This window comes from Homo sapiens, chromosome 3 (assembly GCF_000001405.40).
Source record: "Homo sapiens chromosome 3, GRCh38.p14 Primary Assembly".
Lineage (NCBI taxonomy): Eukaryota > Metazoa > Chordata > Mammalia > Primates > Hominidae > Homo > Homo sapiens.
The window spans coordinates 57,624,876-57,642,650 of record NC_000003.12 but is presented as its reverse complement, the minus strand read 5'-3'; the positions used below and the strand labels follow the sequence as shown (position 1 = coordinate 57,642,650).

Genomic DNA, 17,775 nt, shown 5'->3' with positions numbered 1-17,775 from the left:
TGCCTGTAAGATAACATCTAAACTTCTTAGCATACTAACATGGCTCTAATGATCGGGCAACAATATTCTCATTTCTGACTATTCATCCTTTCTGCTTTTGCTCCAGGAATGCTAAACTCTGTGTAGTTCTACAGACAGGCCATAATGTCACTTCATTGCTTTGCACATAGTTTGTTCTGCATCACTCTTCCCTCTCTCATCCACTTGGCAAAAAACGCCCACTCATCTTTCACGTCTTCCTGTAAATATTACCTCCTTGGTGAGGCTGTCCTTTAATCCCCTGGTAGACATAGGTTCTCCTTTGTGATTATTATGCTTTTTTTTTTTTTTTTTTTTTGAGACAGAGTCTCACTCTGCTGCCCAGGCTGGAGTGCAGTGATGCAATCTCAGCTCACTGCAACCTCCGCCTCCTGGTTTCAAGCAATTCTCCTGCCTCAGCCTCCTGAGTAGCTGGGATTACAGGTGCCCACCAGTACGCCCAGCTAATTTTTTGTAATTTTAGTAGAGATGGGGTTTCACCATGTTGGCCAGGTTGGCCTCGAACTCCTAACCTCGTGATCTGCCCGCCTCAGCCTCCGAAAGTGCTGGGATTACAGGCGTGAATCACCGCGCTCGGCTAATTGTTGTGCATTTTAAACCACCTTCACTGTCTTCTAATTTTGGCATCATAACTGGGTGTGTATATCTTTCTTCCTGTGTGCTGCTGGAAGGACCGTGTCCTTTCGTCTTTTTATGTCTAGTGTAAAACGTGTTGCCTGGCATGTAGTTGATATGTAATGTGTTGAATAAAGGAAAAATCAATCTGTGTATTGTTCATTGAAAAAAAAAGTAAACTATTCTTCACTGATTTAGCATTCATCTTTTTCTCACCTTTTTTATTTTGTTTTGTTTTGTTTTTTATAGGCCCTCAGTTATATTAGGAGTAACCAACCCTTTTTTTGCTAAGACACTCCAGCACTGGCCACACATTATTCGAATAGGAGACCTTAAACCTACAGGTAAAGTATAAACTTGGTGTTCTGTTTCTAGTGTGCAGTGTTGCTGAACAGGTTTCTTTCTTTTCATCCTTGATTATTTTTTATGTTGATGGCAGCTTTCTTCAAGGCCTTTGGAGAAGGGTATAATTTCCTGCTAATTTCCCACTAAAATATGCAGGCTCTTATAATATGTATAATCTGTCATGTCCTCCTACCAAAAAATATACTTATAGTGTTATATTATTATAGAATAATAATATAACACTTATAGAATTATAGTAAAATGAAGTCTTAAAAATGTTAGCTTTATATATATTAAATATATACTTAAATATATATTTTAATATAATATATTGAATATAAATATATATTTAAATATATAATATTTAAATATATATTTTAATATAACATTGAATATAAATATATAATATATATTTAAATATTTAAATATATATTTTTATTACTTAAATATTTAAATATATATAAATATATATTTAAATATACTATATATATATTTAAAAGCCCAATAAAACAGAACTTTCTATATATATAGAAGCCCAATAAAACAGAACTTTCCAATACTGCTTGAGTAAAACCTTATAGAAAACTAGAATTATTCCCAACTTATCACAAAATACACAGCTAGGTCTCAAAACAAGTATATGTCCCTGTAGCACAGGTTATTGATTTAGGGAGCGGTTCAAAGTGTCTTTTCATATGGAAAAGACATACAGTACCTTGTTCATGGTAGGAGTTTAACAGATGTTTAAGTATATGAATTCTGAGGTTGGAAGTTTTGTTAACCTAGATGACAACTAAATGGTACATTAATTAAGGACATGAGTCTTGCGTATGAGAAGATATGAGAAAATTTTTTAAATCTTAATTTAATCTTGACATTTATTTCATGGTTTGGGCGTAGTAATTTAGACTGTTTTATTAATTGTAATGTAGCGGACTACTGACTATTTTCTCCTTCCAATGGAAGACATCTCTCCGACATGACAATGGACATTCATGAATTTTCCACTGAAATAGTTGGGATTATAAAGTTATTTTCTAATAACTTTATAATGTACTACATTTATCTATTTATGTGACAGAGTCTCACTCTGTTGCCCAGGCTGGAGTACAGTGGCACTATCTCGGCTCTCCCAGGTTCAAGTGTTTCTCCTGCCTCAGCCTCCCAAGTAGCTGGGATTACAGGCACCCACCTCCTTGCCCGGCTAATTTTTGTATTTTTAATAGAGACGGGGTTTTGCCATGTTGGCAAGGCTGGTCTCAAACTCCTGAGCTCAGGTGATCTGCCCACCTTGGCCTCCCAAAGTGCTGGGATTACAGGTGTGAGCCACCACTCCCTGCCACTACCTTTTTTGTTTTTTGTTTTTTTTTGTTTTTTTTTTTTGAGACAGAGTCTCACTCTGTCACCCAGGCTGGAGTGCAGTGGCATGATCTCGGCTCACTGCAATCTCTGCTTCACGGGTTCAGGAGATTCTCCTGCCTCAGCCTCCCAAGGAGCTGGGATTACAGGCGCCCACCACCACGCCTGGCTAATTTTTGTATTTTTAGTAGAGACGGGGTTTCACCATGTTGGCCAGTTTGGTCTCAAACTCCAGACCTCCAGACCGCCCACCTCGGCTTCCCAAAGTGCTGGGATTACAGGCTGAGCCACTGCGCCTGGCCAGCAACCACTACTTTTAAAACTTGTTCCTTTTGTTATACATAGATATATTTAAAACATGACTTAATCATCTGATTTTACAAGATATTCCTTCTGGTATATACATATATCTAAATGGAAGTATTAGAATCAAGGATAACATTTTAAATAGTACTGTTTACAAATTCTGGACTCGGTCTTACTGAAATTTTTAGAAGCCTTATGAAATAGAGGAAAAAGCAAAGGGCTTCATCTTGGCAATCAGAACTGTGTGCTAATAGGCTGAATAGCATCTTTAAGCCTCAAATTTTTTGTCTGCTAGGAGGATTAAACACAGTGCCTGATGCATGGTACTCTGTAAATGGCATGGTCCCCTGCCATTCTGTTACTGTTCTGTCTGAGTATTAATGATAATACAGAGAACAACAGTTGCTAGAGTCTTGGATATGAGATGATATGATAAATTTTTTTAAATCTTAATTTAATCTTGACATTTTCATGGTTTGGGCCTACTAATTTAGACTATTAATTATAATGTAGTAGACTACTGATTGTTTTCTCTTTCCAGTGGAAGAAGTCTCTCTGCTAGATGTAGGTAGATAACTTTTGCACAAAATCATTGGTAGAGCAGCATGAATTGATAAATCTGTTTAAGAAATCACCAAACTGTTTGCCAAAGTGGCCCATCAGTTTACATTCTTACCAGCAATGTATGAGGGTTCCTATTTCTTAACATCTCTGCCAACATTTGATGTTGTCATTTTCATTATGGCCATTCTAGAATGTTTGAAATGGTGATGTTAATTTGCTTTTCTCTAATGACTAATGATGGTGAGCACTTTTTCATCTACTTCCTTTCATTCATATATCTTTGGTGAAATGTCTATTTAAATATTTTGTCTTTTTGTGTGTGTGTGTGATAGGGTCTTGTGCTGTTGCTCAGGCTGGAGTGCATTGGCACAATCATAGCTCACTGTAACCTTGAACTCCTGGGCCCAAGTGATCCTTCTGCCTCAGCCTCCCGAGTAGCTGGGAGTACAGGTGCACGCCACCACGCCTGGCTAATTTTTTATTTTTTCTGTAGAGACAGGATCTTGCAATGTTGCTGGTCCTAAACTCCTGTGCTCAAGCAGTCCTCCTGCCTTGGCCTCCCAAAGTGTTGGGATTACAGGTGGGAGCCACCACACCTGGCCTGTTATTTTTCATTTTTTTTGATAGTAACCATCCTAATGGGCATGAGTTAGTATTTTATTGTGGGTTTCATTTTCATTTCCCTCATGATCGGTGATATTGAGTATCTTTCCATTGTTTATTGGCCATTTTATTTATTTATTTATTTAGTTATTTATTTATTTTTGAAACGGAGTCTCACCCTGTTGCCTGGCTGGAGTGCAGTGGCGCAATCTTGGCTCACTGCAACCTCCACCTCCCGGGTTCAAGCAATTCTCCTGCCTTAGCTCCCCGAGTCGCTGAGATTACAGGCATGCACCACCACACCCAGCTAATTTTTGTATTTTTAGTAGAGACAGGGATTCACCATGTTGGCCAGGCTGGTCTCGAACTCCTGACCTCAGGTGATCCACCCGCCTTGGCCTCCCAAAGTGCTGCAATTGTAGGCGTGAGCCACCACACCCAGCCTGTTTATTGGCCATTTATATATTTTCTTTGGAGAAATGTCTATTCAAGTCCTTTGCCCACTTTTAATAGAGTTGTTTGAATGGGTTTTTTTTTTTTAGTTATAGGAATTCTTTATATATTCTGAATAGTAATCCTTATTAGATATATGCTTTGTGAATATTTTCTTCTATTTTGTATTGTCTTTTTGCTCTCTTGATGGTGTCCTTTGATGCACAGAAGTTTATTTTATTTATTTATTTTTTGAGATGGAGTCTTGGTCTGTCTTCCAGGCTGGAGTACGGTGGCATGATCTTGGCTCACTGCAACCTTCGCCTCCTGGGTTCAAGTGATTCTCCTGTCTCAGCCTCCCCAGTAGCTGGGATTACAGGTGTGCGCCACCACACTCAGCTGATTTTTGTATTTTTAGTAGAGATGGGGTTTCACCATGTTGGCCAGGCTGGTCTCGAATTCCTGACCTCGTGATCCACTCACCTCAGCCTCCCAAAGTGCTGGGGTTACAAGCGTGAGCCACTGTGCCCGGCCTGTGCACAGGAGTTTATAATTTAATAGTCTTATTTATTTATTTTTTTTGTTTTCTTCTGTTCTTTTTCTTCTGCTTTTTTTTTTTTTGAAGTCTTATTTATTTTTTCTTTGTATTGCTTGTATATTTGGTGTCATAGTCATGAAATCTCATATATCTTTTAATTTATGAGTGGTTTATATCTTGGAGTATTTTTCTGCTTGTTGAGTTAAAAAACACCCAGGCCCACTGCAAATGCTGCACAAGTTGTGCAACACAGCCCTGCTCAGGATTCTGGCTTTGAAACCTGAGATAGACTGTGAGTTCTACAAGGAAAAAAAAAATCTGGCAGGGTCAGTAAAATTAGAGAAAAAAACATCTTCTTTAGAACCAAGAGGGAAGGCACAGCAGAATTAAGATTTTGCTCTCCTGTGTCCTGAAACTTTACCAGAAACATATATTTAGTGTTAACCTTGCAGAAGGATCATTCCTCCTGATATAAAGGGATTGCTTTTTCTGGATTGTACCTAGTTTTAGTGCACCCACATCCTTGACAAGATGTTCCTCTGTGTCTAGTTATGACAGAGCTAACAACCTGTCTTAATAGGGCACTCATTAATCAGAATGAATGATGGCAGTAACCAGCTGGTTCTGGTGCATACCAGGTAAATATCAAGTTCTGCCCATGCTTTAGTTTCTTCATCTGTGAAATGGGCATCATAAATAAACTCTTATTGTGAAGATTAAATGTGATAATTTGTGCAGTATTCTTGGACCAGAGACTGGCACGGAGGACATCTTCAGTAAATGGTGGCTATTATTGTCCTTACCATTATCTGCAACTCTTTGAGCAACATGTTCATGCTTCTGTATTTAACTTTTTACTCAAAAGGCCTTTTCTCCTTCCTATGGATAACTTTTTTTTTTTTTTTTTTTTTTTGAGACAGAGTCTCGCTCTGTCACCCAGGCTGGAGTGTAGTGACACAATCTCGGCTTACTGCAGCCTCTGCCTTCTGGGTTCAAGTGATTCTCCTGTGTCAGCCTCCCGAGTAGCTGGGACTACAGGCGTGTGCCACCATGCCCAGCTAATTTTTGTATTTTTAGTGGAGACAGGGCTTCCCCATGTTGGCCAGGATGGTCTGGAACTCCTGACCTCAGGTGATCCACCCGCCTCAGCTTTCCAAAGTGCTGAGATTACAGGCGTGAGCCACCACGCCCGGCCAACTTTTTATCTCTCTTACAAGTTGGCTTAACTGTTACCTCCTTTAGGAATCCTCAATAATTTTCTTACTCTTCTTTGGCCAGGACACTCTTCTGTGTCTCCGTAGTATCTTGTTCATAATTCTATCCCAGCACCTTTCCCTCCATATTGTCATTTCTCTGTATCATATTTTGCTGTTAGACTGTGGCTCATTGATACGGGTAATTAGCTGTTTTGTTCCTGTATTGCCAGTATCTTGCATTTACTTAATATTTACTGAATCAATGAAAAAATAAGTCTGTGTATCCATGATACTGCTTTTTTAACAAGTATCTGTTTAAAATTATTACTGGGACAGTTGACACATTTGGAGTATAGACTAATTTTCTTTTAATCTCTTTCACTCTTTCCTTTATAGACTGTATTACTTGGCAGCTTCTCTGCAAAACTGAAATTACAATTAACCCTTGAACAATACAGGGATTAGGAATGCCAACTTCCTGTGTAGTAGAAAATCTGTGTATACCTTTAACTCCTCCATAACTTAAGTTCTAACAGCCTACTGTTGATCAGAGCCTTAGCAATAACATAAACAGTCAATTAACACACATTTTGTATGTTTTATGTATTATATATTGTATCCTTATAATAAAGTAAGCTAGGGGAAATAAAATGTTACTAAGAAAATCATGAGGAAGATAAAATATATATTGACTGTTCATTAAGTGGAAGTGGATCATCATAAAAGTCTTCATCCTCATAGCCTTCACACTGAGTAGGTTGAAGAGGAAGAGGAGGGAATGGTCTTGCTAACTCAGGGGTGGCAGAGGCAGGAAAAAAAATCATGTATAAGTGAATATGCACAGTTTAAACCCATGCTGTTCAATGTTCAACTGTACTTCAAAGTAAAAAGTTTATAGAAATAGCTGTTTTATCATAATACATACTCTTAAAATTTTTTAGCAATATAAGATTGCAAAGGAAAATGTTCCTTGTTCTTAAAATCTCACCCCCAGATATACCACAATTAGCAGTTTGATCTATGTAACTATTTAAACAAAGGCATTTTGTGAATTTAGAGGCTTCAATTATATTATAATCTCTATAATAATATAATCTCTAGATTGTCTTTCAGTTCTTAGGTTCTTTTAACCCTTATGCAGAGAAGAGGGAGGGTGGAGAAAATCTTTGAAATTAGGTTTGTTCATGACACTTTTAAGTGTATCTTGAGGTATTTTTCTGTCTGTTATAAGGGTTGTTTAGGTGTTAGCTTTCTTTGACCCTAAGACCAGGGCCTGCATATACTACACAAGCTATTCAACATAGCAGCCTGCTCAGGAGTCCTGTCCATCTGTGGCTCAGACCTGTGGTTGCTGCACACACCATCACCACTTGCTGGCAGTGTAAGTTTCTATAATGGAAAAGCTGAATTTGAGGAGGCATCAAAAACAAAACAAAACAAAACAAAACAAAACCCCACAAACCCTTGAAGACTACATCTGCATAGTCATTTAAGAATTGCTCTCTATTCCATTTATACTTAAAGGGTATTTTATTCCTATTCAGCATCTAAATTTTCAGTTTTATGTATTTGGCATATAGATTTTAAATTACAGGTTGAGTGACAAAAAGGGAAAAATTTAAGTAATGATAGATATTAATGAAAGATCAAATATCCATTTTATATAATTTACATGAATTATTTCTGTACTGTTGTAGTAATCCAGTATTCTTGTTATCCAGTTTTAAAATACCAAGAATGAACCCTTAACATATTAATAGATGTTAAGAATCCTTTCATTATAACATACTTAAGTAATAAACAGATTATAAATCTTATAAAGTTCCAATTTTGTAATATGTATGATTAGAATAATTATAAAAATCTTTATGCTGCTTCCTTCAGGTGAAATTCCTAAGCAGGTTAAAGTGAAAAAACTGAAGAATCTAAAGACTCTGGATTCCAAACCTGGTATTGACTTTTATTGATTTTTAAATATATATTTATATGGTACTTGGGTTTTTTTGTTTACCTTCTTTTCTTTGCTCTTAGGAGTTTATACTTCATATAAGCCATATTTAAATAGAGATGAAGAGATCATAAAACAATTACAGAAGGTAATTAGTTGCTCATATTATTAATTTAAATTTCCTTGTTCAGGTATGTAATATCCAGTTACGCAATATGTCCTTTATGTATACTAATGTGAAATAGGATCTCTCCTTTTTTTTTTTTTTTTTGGGAGACAGAGTCTCACTCTATCACCCAGGCTGGAGTGCAGTGATGTGATCTCAGCTCACTGCAACCTCCACCTCCCGGGTTCAAGTGATTCTCATGCCTCAGCCTCCTGAGCAGCTGGAATTACAGGTGTGCACCATCATGCCTGGCTAATTTCTGTGTTTTTAGTAGAGACGGGGTTTCACCATGTTGGCCAGGCTGGTCTCGAACTCCTGGCCTTAAGTGATACGCCCACCTCGGTCTCCCAAAGTCCTGGGATTACAGGCGTCAGCCACCGTGCCCTGCCAGGGTCTCTTTTTTGATTCAAAGTTTTATGAAAATCAGGAGACTAAGTTAGCAACAGTATGGGCATGAATTTGGGGCTGTAGCTACACATGAGTGTCAGTCTTTCTAGAAACTTGGAAATTATAGTGAAAAAGCCATAGATTCTACCATGATAGCATCTAACAGTAGGGGACTGTTACCATTTTTTTTAATGTAAATAGTATAGTATAGCAAATATAAAATAAAGATTGTCTTTATAGTGAACTCACTTTTTTTTTTTTGAGATGGAGTTTCGCTCTTGTTGCCCAGGCTGGAGTGCAATAGCACAATCTCGGCTCACTGCAGCCTCCACCTCCCCAGGTTCAAGCAATTCTTCTGTCTCAGCCTTCCAAGTAGCTGGGATTACAGGTGCCCGCCACCACACCCAGCTAATTTTTGTATTTTTTAGTAGAGACGGGGTTTCACCATGATGGCCAGGCTGGTCCTGAGCCCCTGACCTCAGGTAATCCACCCACCTCACCTTCCCAAAGTGTTGGGATTACAGACGTGAGCCACGGTGCCCAGCCGTGAACTCACATTTTCACAGTATGGGATGAACAGTATTCCCTAAGCTAAGAACTCTTATGTTTTGCTCCGGTAAAGATTATTTTCACAGGATATTGCACAATGAACTTCACATTAAATTACTTCAAGGTGAAGTTCTAGTTTTTTAAATATCAAGTATAAATGTATATTTACATAGCAATTGAATCTGATAGTTATCCATTGTTTTATATTCCAACACTAGAATACAGATTCTCATTATTTCCTCTTTTAAGGGTGTACAACAGAAACGTCCTTCTGAGGCTCAAAGTGTTATTCTTCGACGCTATTTTTTGGAACTGACACAAAGTTTCATCATTCCATTAGTAAGTTAATAAATAAATTTTTGCATAATTTAATGATTTGGTGAAGGGTATATAAATGTTTTTCCCGCCCTCCAAAACCATATCTTAAGTTGTGTGTTTTGCCAGCCTGGTATATTTAGTGATTAAAAATAAACCCCTTTGCAAGAGACCTGGATTATCTGTTCTAGTGTTAACTGTTCAACTTTGGTAAGTCACTCCCTCTCTCTGACCCTCAATTTTCTCACCTGTGAAATATGGCTGATTCCACTTTCCTAAGTACCTTTTCAAGACTGTTGTGAATCTTAAATGATATACTTTATATGAAATGTTATGTAGTTACTACATTTTTCACCTTAAAAGAAGATTATAGTAGAGCTTCTTTCTGATACTTATCTTGAATACAATTTGATATAATGTCTATGAGGCTGTAGCTCTATGATAACAGGGACTATATCTGTCTTGCTTGTTATTAATTCGTCAGACTGGCATATGGTAGCACTCAAATATTTATGGAATAAATGACTAGACAATGTGGTTATTGTAAGAAATTCAGAAGGATGTCATATTAAAGTATAGGGAGTACCATGATGTGGCCCTGCTCTGGAAACTGCATCATAGAGAAACTTTTTGCAGTTATTAATATAAAGTAATATATCTATGAACATTATATAGGGCATCCTGGAGATCTTTGCTGTTATATTTTAGAAAGAAATATTATTTCTTGGTCTTTGGGTGTCAAGTTATTTATTCCATTAAATCTATTTGTTTGAATAAATAAACTTTACTGTAGTGCTTATGAGCATGGACTAGGCTGGGCACAGTGGCTCAGGCCTGCCACTTTGGGAGGCGAAGGTAAGAGGATTGCTTAAGGCCAGGACTTTGAGACTACAGTAGGCTGTGATTGCACGACTGCACTCCATCCTGGGCAACAGCAAGACTCTCTTAAAAAAAAAAAGAGCATGGACTGGGCGTGGTGGCTCACGTCTGTAATCCCAGCACTTTTGGAGACTGAGGCGGGCAGATCACGAGGTCAGGAGATCGAGACCATCCTGGCTAACACGGTGAAACCCCGTCTCGTCTCTACTAAAAATACAAAAAATTGGCCAGGCATGGTGGCACGCACCTGTAGTCCCAGCTGCTCTAGAGGCTGAGGCAGGAGAATCACTTGAACCCGGGAGGCGGAGGTTGCAGTGAGCTGAGATCGCGCCACTGCACTCAGCCTGGGCGAAAGAGTGAGACTCCGTCTCAAAAAAAAAAAAAAAAAGGCCGGGCGCGGTGGCTCACGCCTGTAATCCCAGCACTTTGGGAGGCCGAGGCGGGCGGATCACGAGGTCAGGAGATCAAGACCATCCTGGCTAACACGGTGAAACCCCGTCTCTACTAAAAATACAAAAAATTAGCCGGGCGTGGTGGTGGGCGCCTGTAATCCCAGCTACTCGGGAGGCTGAGGCAGGAGAATGGCATGAACCCAAGAGGCAGAGCTTGCAGTGAGCCGGGATAGCGCCACTGCAGTCCAGCTTGGGCGAAAGAGTGAGACTCCGTCTCAAAAAAAAAAAAAAAAAAAAAAAAGAGAGCAGAGACCAAAGTCAAGTAGACCTCATTTCAAGTCTAAATTGTATTACCTTGGTCAGGTTATTTAGCCTTTTGAAGAAGCCTCAGTTTCCTAATAATACCTACCACATAGGATCATTCCAAGGATTACAAGAGATCATGCATGTAAAATGTTGAGTGCATTATCTGGCCTATAGTTGCTCAGTAAGGTTAACTATTATCGTTAAAAAATGGACCGCGTTGTTGGGCGCGGTAGTTCACGCCTGTAATCCCAGCACTTTGGGAGGCTGAGGCAGGTGGATCATGAGGTCAGGAGTTCGAGACCAGCCTGACCAACATGGTAAAACCCCATCTCTACTAAAAATACAAAATTAGCCAGGCGTGGTGGCGCACGCCTGTAATCCCAGCTGCTTGGGAGACTGAGGCGGGAGAATCGCTTGAACCCGGGGGGCAGAGGTTGTAGTGAGCCGAGATCATGCCATTGCACTCCAGCCTGCGCAACAGAACAAGGCTCTGTCTCAAAAAAGAAAAAATGTAGTCCCCTTGGTTTATCTAAGATTTAGTTGAATTTTTATTTGAAATCTGACTTCCCAAGTCAGTCTAAATTTAGCTATATCTCTTGTGGGGAGTGATGGAGTTGTTGCTGTCCATTGAAAGGGCATATGATTAAAAACTTAAAAGACCCATTCCTTTTAAGTAGGTCTGTTTAAATATTTTTGAAGACACTCCTTTTATTAACTTTTTTCTTGGTTTTAGGAAAGATATGTGGCAAGCTTGATGCCTTTGCAGAAAAGTATTTCCCCATGGAAGGTATGAATATATTCAAATCTATTTGGGTCCTCTAACTGTAATTAACTTCTGTGAACATATCCACTCCTAATTTCTAAATATTATATGTCCTGTTTTCTAGAGTCCACCTCAATTAAGACAGTTTCTTCCAGAAGAATTTATGAAAACACTTGAGAAAACAGGACCTCAGCTAACCTCTAGAATAAAAGGCGATTGGATTGGACTTTACCGGTTAGTCTTTTTTCCCTGTTTTACACCCATGTGTCGTGCTTTATTTAAAAGCAAAACAAAAAGCTAAACTTAAGCTTATTCTTTTTAAAAAATTCTACTAAAGTTTGACATGGTTCTCTGACTAGGAAAGGTATTGAGGAAAGGAAATAAGTTATAATCAAACTTTACTTTTTTAAAATGTATTTTTATAGGCATTTCCTAAAGTCTCCAAATTTTGATGGCTGGTTTAAGACCCGGAGGAAGGAAATGACCCAAAAATTGGAGGCACTCCATCTAGAAGCTCTTTGTGAAGAGGTTCGAAAACTGTGTGTTTGTGTAATGATTAACAACTGTTGAAAATAAAGATAATTATGCTTAGAAGTTGAAGATTGTACCCTTTATCCACTCTTTATAAATAGTAATGATGACTAACTTTTCTAGATCATGTGCTATGTGCCAAGGACATTATAGGGGCTTTATATAGATAATCTCTTTTAATCTTTACAATGATTCTTTGAGGTAGGTGTGTTATGAACTGCATCATGGGAAACTTTTGGCTTAGAAGTTAAATGACTTGCCTCAGATCACATCCCTGCTAAGTAGTGGAGCCAACAGTGTGCTGGAGTCCACTTGCATTGGCTCACAAGAGCCAAATGTGCACATCTCTTCTCAGCTCTGTATTCAGTAACCTCAGGTTGGCAGCTTGAAATAGCCTACAGTGGGAGTACTACACCACAGAAATTGGCAAATGCTACAAACCAGAGACCTCTTTTGGAGAACCACTTGTTAAATATTTACCAGCACATTACTGGGTAGAGTAAGGATTCTAATCCAAGAAGCCTAACTCCACATCTTTTTCTGTATGATGTATTTACCTTTTTTAGTTAGTATTAACACTTTTAGAAATGTGGACTGGCCGGGTGCAGTGGCTCACGCCTGTAATCCCAGCACTTTGGGAGGCTGAGGTGGGTGGATCACGAGGTCAGGAGATGGAGACCATCCTGGCTAACACGGTGAAACCCCATCTCTACTGAAAATACAAAAAAAAAAAAAAAAATTAGCCGGGCGTGGTGGCAGGCGCCTGTAGTCCCAGCTACTCGGGAGGCTGAGGCAGGAGAATGGCGTGAACCCGGGAGGCGGAGCTTGCAGTGAGCTGAGATCGCGCCACTGTGCTCCAGCCTGGGCGACAGAGCGAGACTCCGTCTCAAAAAAAAAAAAAAAAAAAAAAGCGGACTGATTTTTTTTTTATGTTCTGTATTACCAGCCTATTTTAAATTAAACTACTTGTGAAAATAAAAGGAATAGTCTCACTTTCATTTATATTTAGCTTTAAATGTGAGGTGTGCTAACCTCAGTGTTAACTTTCTACTCATAAACTCCCAGTCACTGTGGCTTTGAGAAAAGGAATATGATGAATGCACCTGCAACATAAGCCCAGGAAGAGCATATCCGAAAACACGAAGTGTACATCCAGTAGTAAATTCATGTTCAGTTCTCTTGATTTGTTAACTAATGTTCCTTATAAATTAGTCACTACTTAGTGGAAGTGGGGGTTACTGTTACAGTTTGAGCTGCAATTTTGTTTTTCTTGCTTGATCTAAAAAAGCCACCTCAGTACATTTTGTTTTACTTCCAAATATGAGACAATTATTCTGGCTAATGCAGAAAATTATCTAACAGTTATTAGAATATTATGAGAATTATTCTTGCACTATAATGCTATATCTGGGTTAAATACTTTGTTCTCCTTTTCCTTCTTGTCTTTCCTTCACAGTAGCCTTACCTATTGAAATAGAGAGGTTTGAATATTATTTTGAGAACTTACTGATTTGGGACTTTATTTATTCTAGGACTTACTTCTCTGGATCCAGAAACACACAGAAGTAGAAACAGTAGACCTTGTCTTGAAGCTGAAAAATAAGCTGGTATGTAGCCAAAACAGCCAAAGATTAAATTGACTTTTCTTTGAAGACATTGTCCTCTCATGTGAGCTGACAACCCATGATAGTTCGCAGAAGTAACTTTTTAAATGAGAGGGCTTGAAATTGGTCAATTGATGGTAGATACTGCTGAAAATACTTGGTCACTGAAACAGACCATAATGATGCCATATTATTCTAACGTTATGTATATAGAATCTAATAAGCTCTATAAAAACATTGTCACTTATATTTCTAGGTATTATTATGAATTTACATAGAAGCCTTTTATTGAGCTCAATAACGAATTGTTTAAATAGAATGCTCCTTGCTTTTTTAGTTTCTGTAATTTCTGGTCTAAGACTGAAAGTATCTAATTGTTAGACCTTTAAAATGGTTTATTTAGAGAATGTAATGTATTAATACAGATTCTGAGGATAATTTAAATGTTATGAAATGTTCCTTATGTAGTTGCAGGCTGATCGAGAGCACTTACCTGTGAAACCTGACACTATGGAAAAGTTACGGACACACATAGATGCCATTATCTTAGCATTGCCAGAGGACTTGCAAGGCATACTGCTCAAAACGGGCATGACATGATATTTGCCAAGATTTTCCAGCCAAAAAGGATTATGCATCATGAAGCATACTGACATTTCAACCAGACGCACAAAGGAGATCTCTCAGTGGCAGCGGAGTGGAAAATTGCCATGAATGCTAGTTACAGGGTAGAAAGACTGTATTGTATAAACAGACCTTTTTAGTGCATTACTTTTTAAAGTGGATATCTGTGGTGGTTCCACTTTAATACTGAAACACCGAAAGGCATTTCTATATTTTTAATCATGTTCTAAAGTGCTCTTATGAGAGACTTGTGGGCCATCAGTATTAGTGATTTCATACTGCAGTGCTGGCATTGCAGATATTTTTTTAAATTGGTGCTGCTTTGCCCAATCATGTTAAAACTCAGGGGGATATAAAAATAACATTCACACTGGCTATCTTCTTAAGAACAGAAAGACTGAACTGTCCTATGGTTAGAAGGAATTGATGCTTATGTAGTGCCTTCTGTTGTCCTACATGTTTCACAGTTCAGCTGCTAGTCTTGAAGCTTTTCCTTAGCTTCATTATGATACGTAATTTTATAAGGTATTCTGTTGAGTGATCATTGTTTAAAAAAAAAGTTTCTTGCTACCCATTGTGTTTATTAATAGACATGATGGGTTTTTTTCAGTTGTCATATAGATTTTCATTATTTTCCCTTCCATTTTCAAAATTTAATGTTACCAGTTTCTCCAAAGACAAGAAGGCATCTAGTATTAATGATGGAAGAGTTTATTTTCTCTTACCCTTTACTAATTTAAACATTAGGCTGGGTGTGGTGGCTCACGCCTGTAATCCTAGCACTTTGGGAGGCCAAGGTGGACAGGTCACTTAAGGTCGAGAGTCCAAGACCAGCCTGGCCAACATGGTGAAACCCCGTCTCTAGTAAAAATACAAAAATTAGCCAGGCATGGTGGCACGCGCCTGTAATCCCAGCTACTTGGGAGGCTGAGATGTGAGAATCACTTGAACCTGGGAGGCGGAGGTTGCAGTGAGCTGAGATTACACCCCTGGACTCCAGCTTGGGTGACACAGTGAGACTGTGTCTCAACAAAAATAAAAAATTAAATAAATACTAATTTAAATATTATTAAATGTTTAAACTAATGAACTTGGCTGCTTTTCAAAGACATTTTAATTATAAATCTCATAATCAGCTATTTTTTTAAACTGAACTATTCTTATTTCAAAGGCATTCATGAGTTTTTTATGTGATACTTATTTGAGTGATGATAAGATTGATTTCTGGCATTATTTGTTTGGTAGCGTTTTATTTTTCCCAACATTAATGTTTCTTAAAACACTTTTCCTACTATTGTTTGACATGGGAACTTTCGCCTGAGTCACTGTCATGGTTAGCTTTTGTTGTTGTTGTTTTTGTTTCTGTTTTGTTTAAACAATACTACCTTGCCAAAAATAGAAGAATGTGATTTGGTAGAGTAGGGTTGTTTGGTTTGTGTTTGAATAAGAGTATCCTACAGAAGCCACTTTTTTTTTTTTTGAGATGGAGTTTTGCTCTTGTTGCCCAGGCTGGAGTGCAATGGCGCAATCTCGGCTGACTGCAACCTCCACCTCCCGGGTGCAAGTGATTGTCCTGCCTCAGCCTCCTGAGTAGCTGGGATTACAGGTATGTGCCACCACGCCTGGCTAATTTTGTATTTTTAGTAGAGATGGGGTTTCTCCATGTTGGTCAGGCTGGTCTCAAACTCCCGACCTCAGGTGATCCGCCCGCCTCGGCCTCCCAAAGTGCTGGGATTACAGGTGTGAGCCACCGCACCTGGCCAGAAGCCACTAACTAAAATAGGCACACATGACACAGCATGTGGTTAATAGCTGTGTCTTGAATTATCCTCTAAATAACCAAATTTAGTTGTATGTATTTGTAAAGGATATGGCTTCAGAAGCTATCTTTTGTTCTCTGTCGATATAACTCTTAAGGGCATTCCTGACCCAAGAAAGACTCCTTGCGTTTGTAACTGTGGTCTAATACCCAAATGTGCCCTGTTCTTATGGATACAGTCTCTTGAAGCATACCTCAAAGTCATAGAGAGAATATGGCATTTGAAAGAAATCGTTTGCCTTGGATCATATGAGTTATTTTGTGAAACAACAGCTGACTTTTCAGAAAAGGAGCAACTACTTTTATATGCTAAAAGTATTTCATAACTTTCTGGGAAACCTTATTTAGGTATAAATGGTCATCTTATTATTTTTCAAAAAGGTATATTTTAATAATTGTACAATTTATATACAGTTTGTGACCAGAATTTGTAAGTTGTTGGTGTCATATCAAGGATCTTTTAAATTATGCCACTACAGGATGTATCATTTCAAGTCTATTTTGCACAGCTAAACAGTAGCAAAAGATGCCAATTAGCATGATAATGGTGTCTTCATTTTTACTGTATTTAACTGAAACCTAACACATGTTGAAAACCATATCATACCTAGTTTATCTCTTAATTTCAAACTATGTACTTGTAAAAATGATGTAAATTTGCACTGGGAACCTGGGAAAGAGTGACTGATAATTTTTGGTGCGTGATTTTTAGATTTGTCTTTTTTTTTTTAAGAAGAATTTGTTACTATGTAAACCCTGACATTAAATGTTTTATCTCTACCAGCATCAGGAGGAATCACTGCTTTAAGGGTATTATGTAATGCCTAGTGCCTTCTATTTACAGTGAAAAAGAGGTTTTGTGAAGGCATTTATGGTCATTACCAAAAACTAAATTAAAGGCCTTGGATTTTAAAGCACTTGGATATTTTGTGTTATTTCTGAATGGGGTTGGACTGCTTGGAGAAAATGCATAGTTAATGAAACTCGTCATTATGAGATTCCTTTTGTTTCCTGCCAGGTTGTTTGTTTTTTTAAGGACTTCAAATGAAAACCCTGTGTACTTCACTATGAACAGGTGAACAGTTCTGTTTAGACAGATCAGTTAAGTGACTTCATATCTTTCCTAGCAGTGCATTGATTTTATGAAATATTCTGGTAAAAATATTGGTCGTATGTGGTGGCTCATACCTGTAATCTCAGCACTTCAGGAGGCTGAGGCAGGAGGATCGTTTAAGCTCAGGAGTTCAAGATCTGCCTAGGCAAACAAAGTGAGACCCCGTCTCTACAAAAAATCAAAAAATTAGCAGAGCATGGTGGCACATGCCTGCAGTCTCAGCTACTCAGGTGGCTCAGGTGGGTGAGGGGATGGCCTCAGCCTAGGAGATTGAGGCTGCAGTGAGCCATAATCACACCACTGCACTCCCGCCTGGGTGACAGAGCAAGACCTGTCTCAAAAAAATAATTATTTTAGTTGAATAAACTCAATTATTGCTAG

The 17,775-nt window shown here is 38.3% G+C and overlaps 2 protein-coding genes across 6 annotated transcripts in view; one reads left to right on the top strand and one right to left on the bottom strand.

The window, feature by feature from the left end:
• The window catches only part of DENND6A (DENN domain containing 6A), a 67,624-nt gene extending 50,427 nt beyond the window's left edge, over positions 1 to 17,197 (top strand). For 3 of the 5 annotated variants that reach the window (XM_006713019.4, NM_152678.3, XM_047447670.1), the window contains 9 exons: positions 904 to 998; positions 7,882 to 7,947; positions 8,029 to 8,093; positions 9,297 to 9,386; positions 11,673 to 11,726; positions 11,827 to 11,936; positions 12,128 to 12,230; positions 13,766 to 13,840; positions 14,306 to 17,197. In XM_006713019.4, the coding sequence (XP_006713082.1) occupies positions 904 to 998; positions 7,882 to 7,947; positions 8,029 to 8,093; positions 9,297 to 9,386; positions 11,673 to 11,726; positions 11,827 to 11,936; positions 12,128 to 12,230; positions 13,766 to 13,840; positions 14,306 to 14,437 (790 nt within the window). In that variant the 3' untranslated portion in view covers positions 14,438 to 17,197. The remainder of the gene's footprint in view (positions 1 to 903; positions 999 to 7,881; positions 7,948 to 8,028; positions 8,094 to 9,296; positions 9,387 to 11,672; positions 11,727 to 11,826; positions 11,937 to 12,127; positions 12,231 to 13,765; positions 13,841 to 14,305) is intronic. The other 2 variants (XR_007095649.1, XR_245100.2) reach the window with 1 other exon arrangement.
• The window catches only part of PDE12 (phosphodiesterase 12), a 100,222-nt gene that overhangs the window by 13,845 nt on the left and 68,602 nt on the right, over positions 1 to 17,775 (bottom strand). The window lies entirely within an intron of this gene.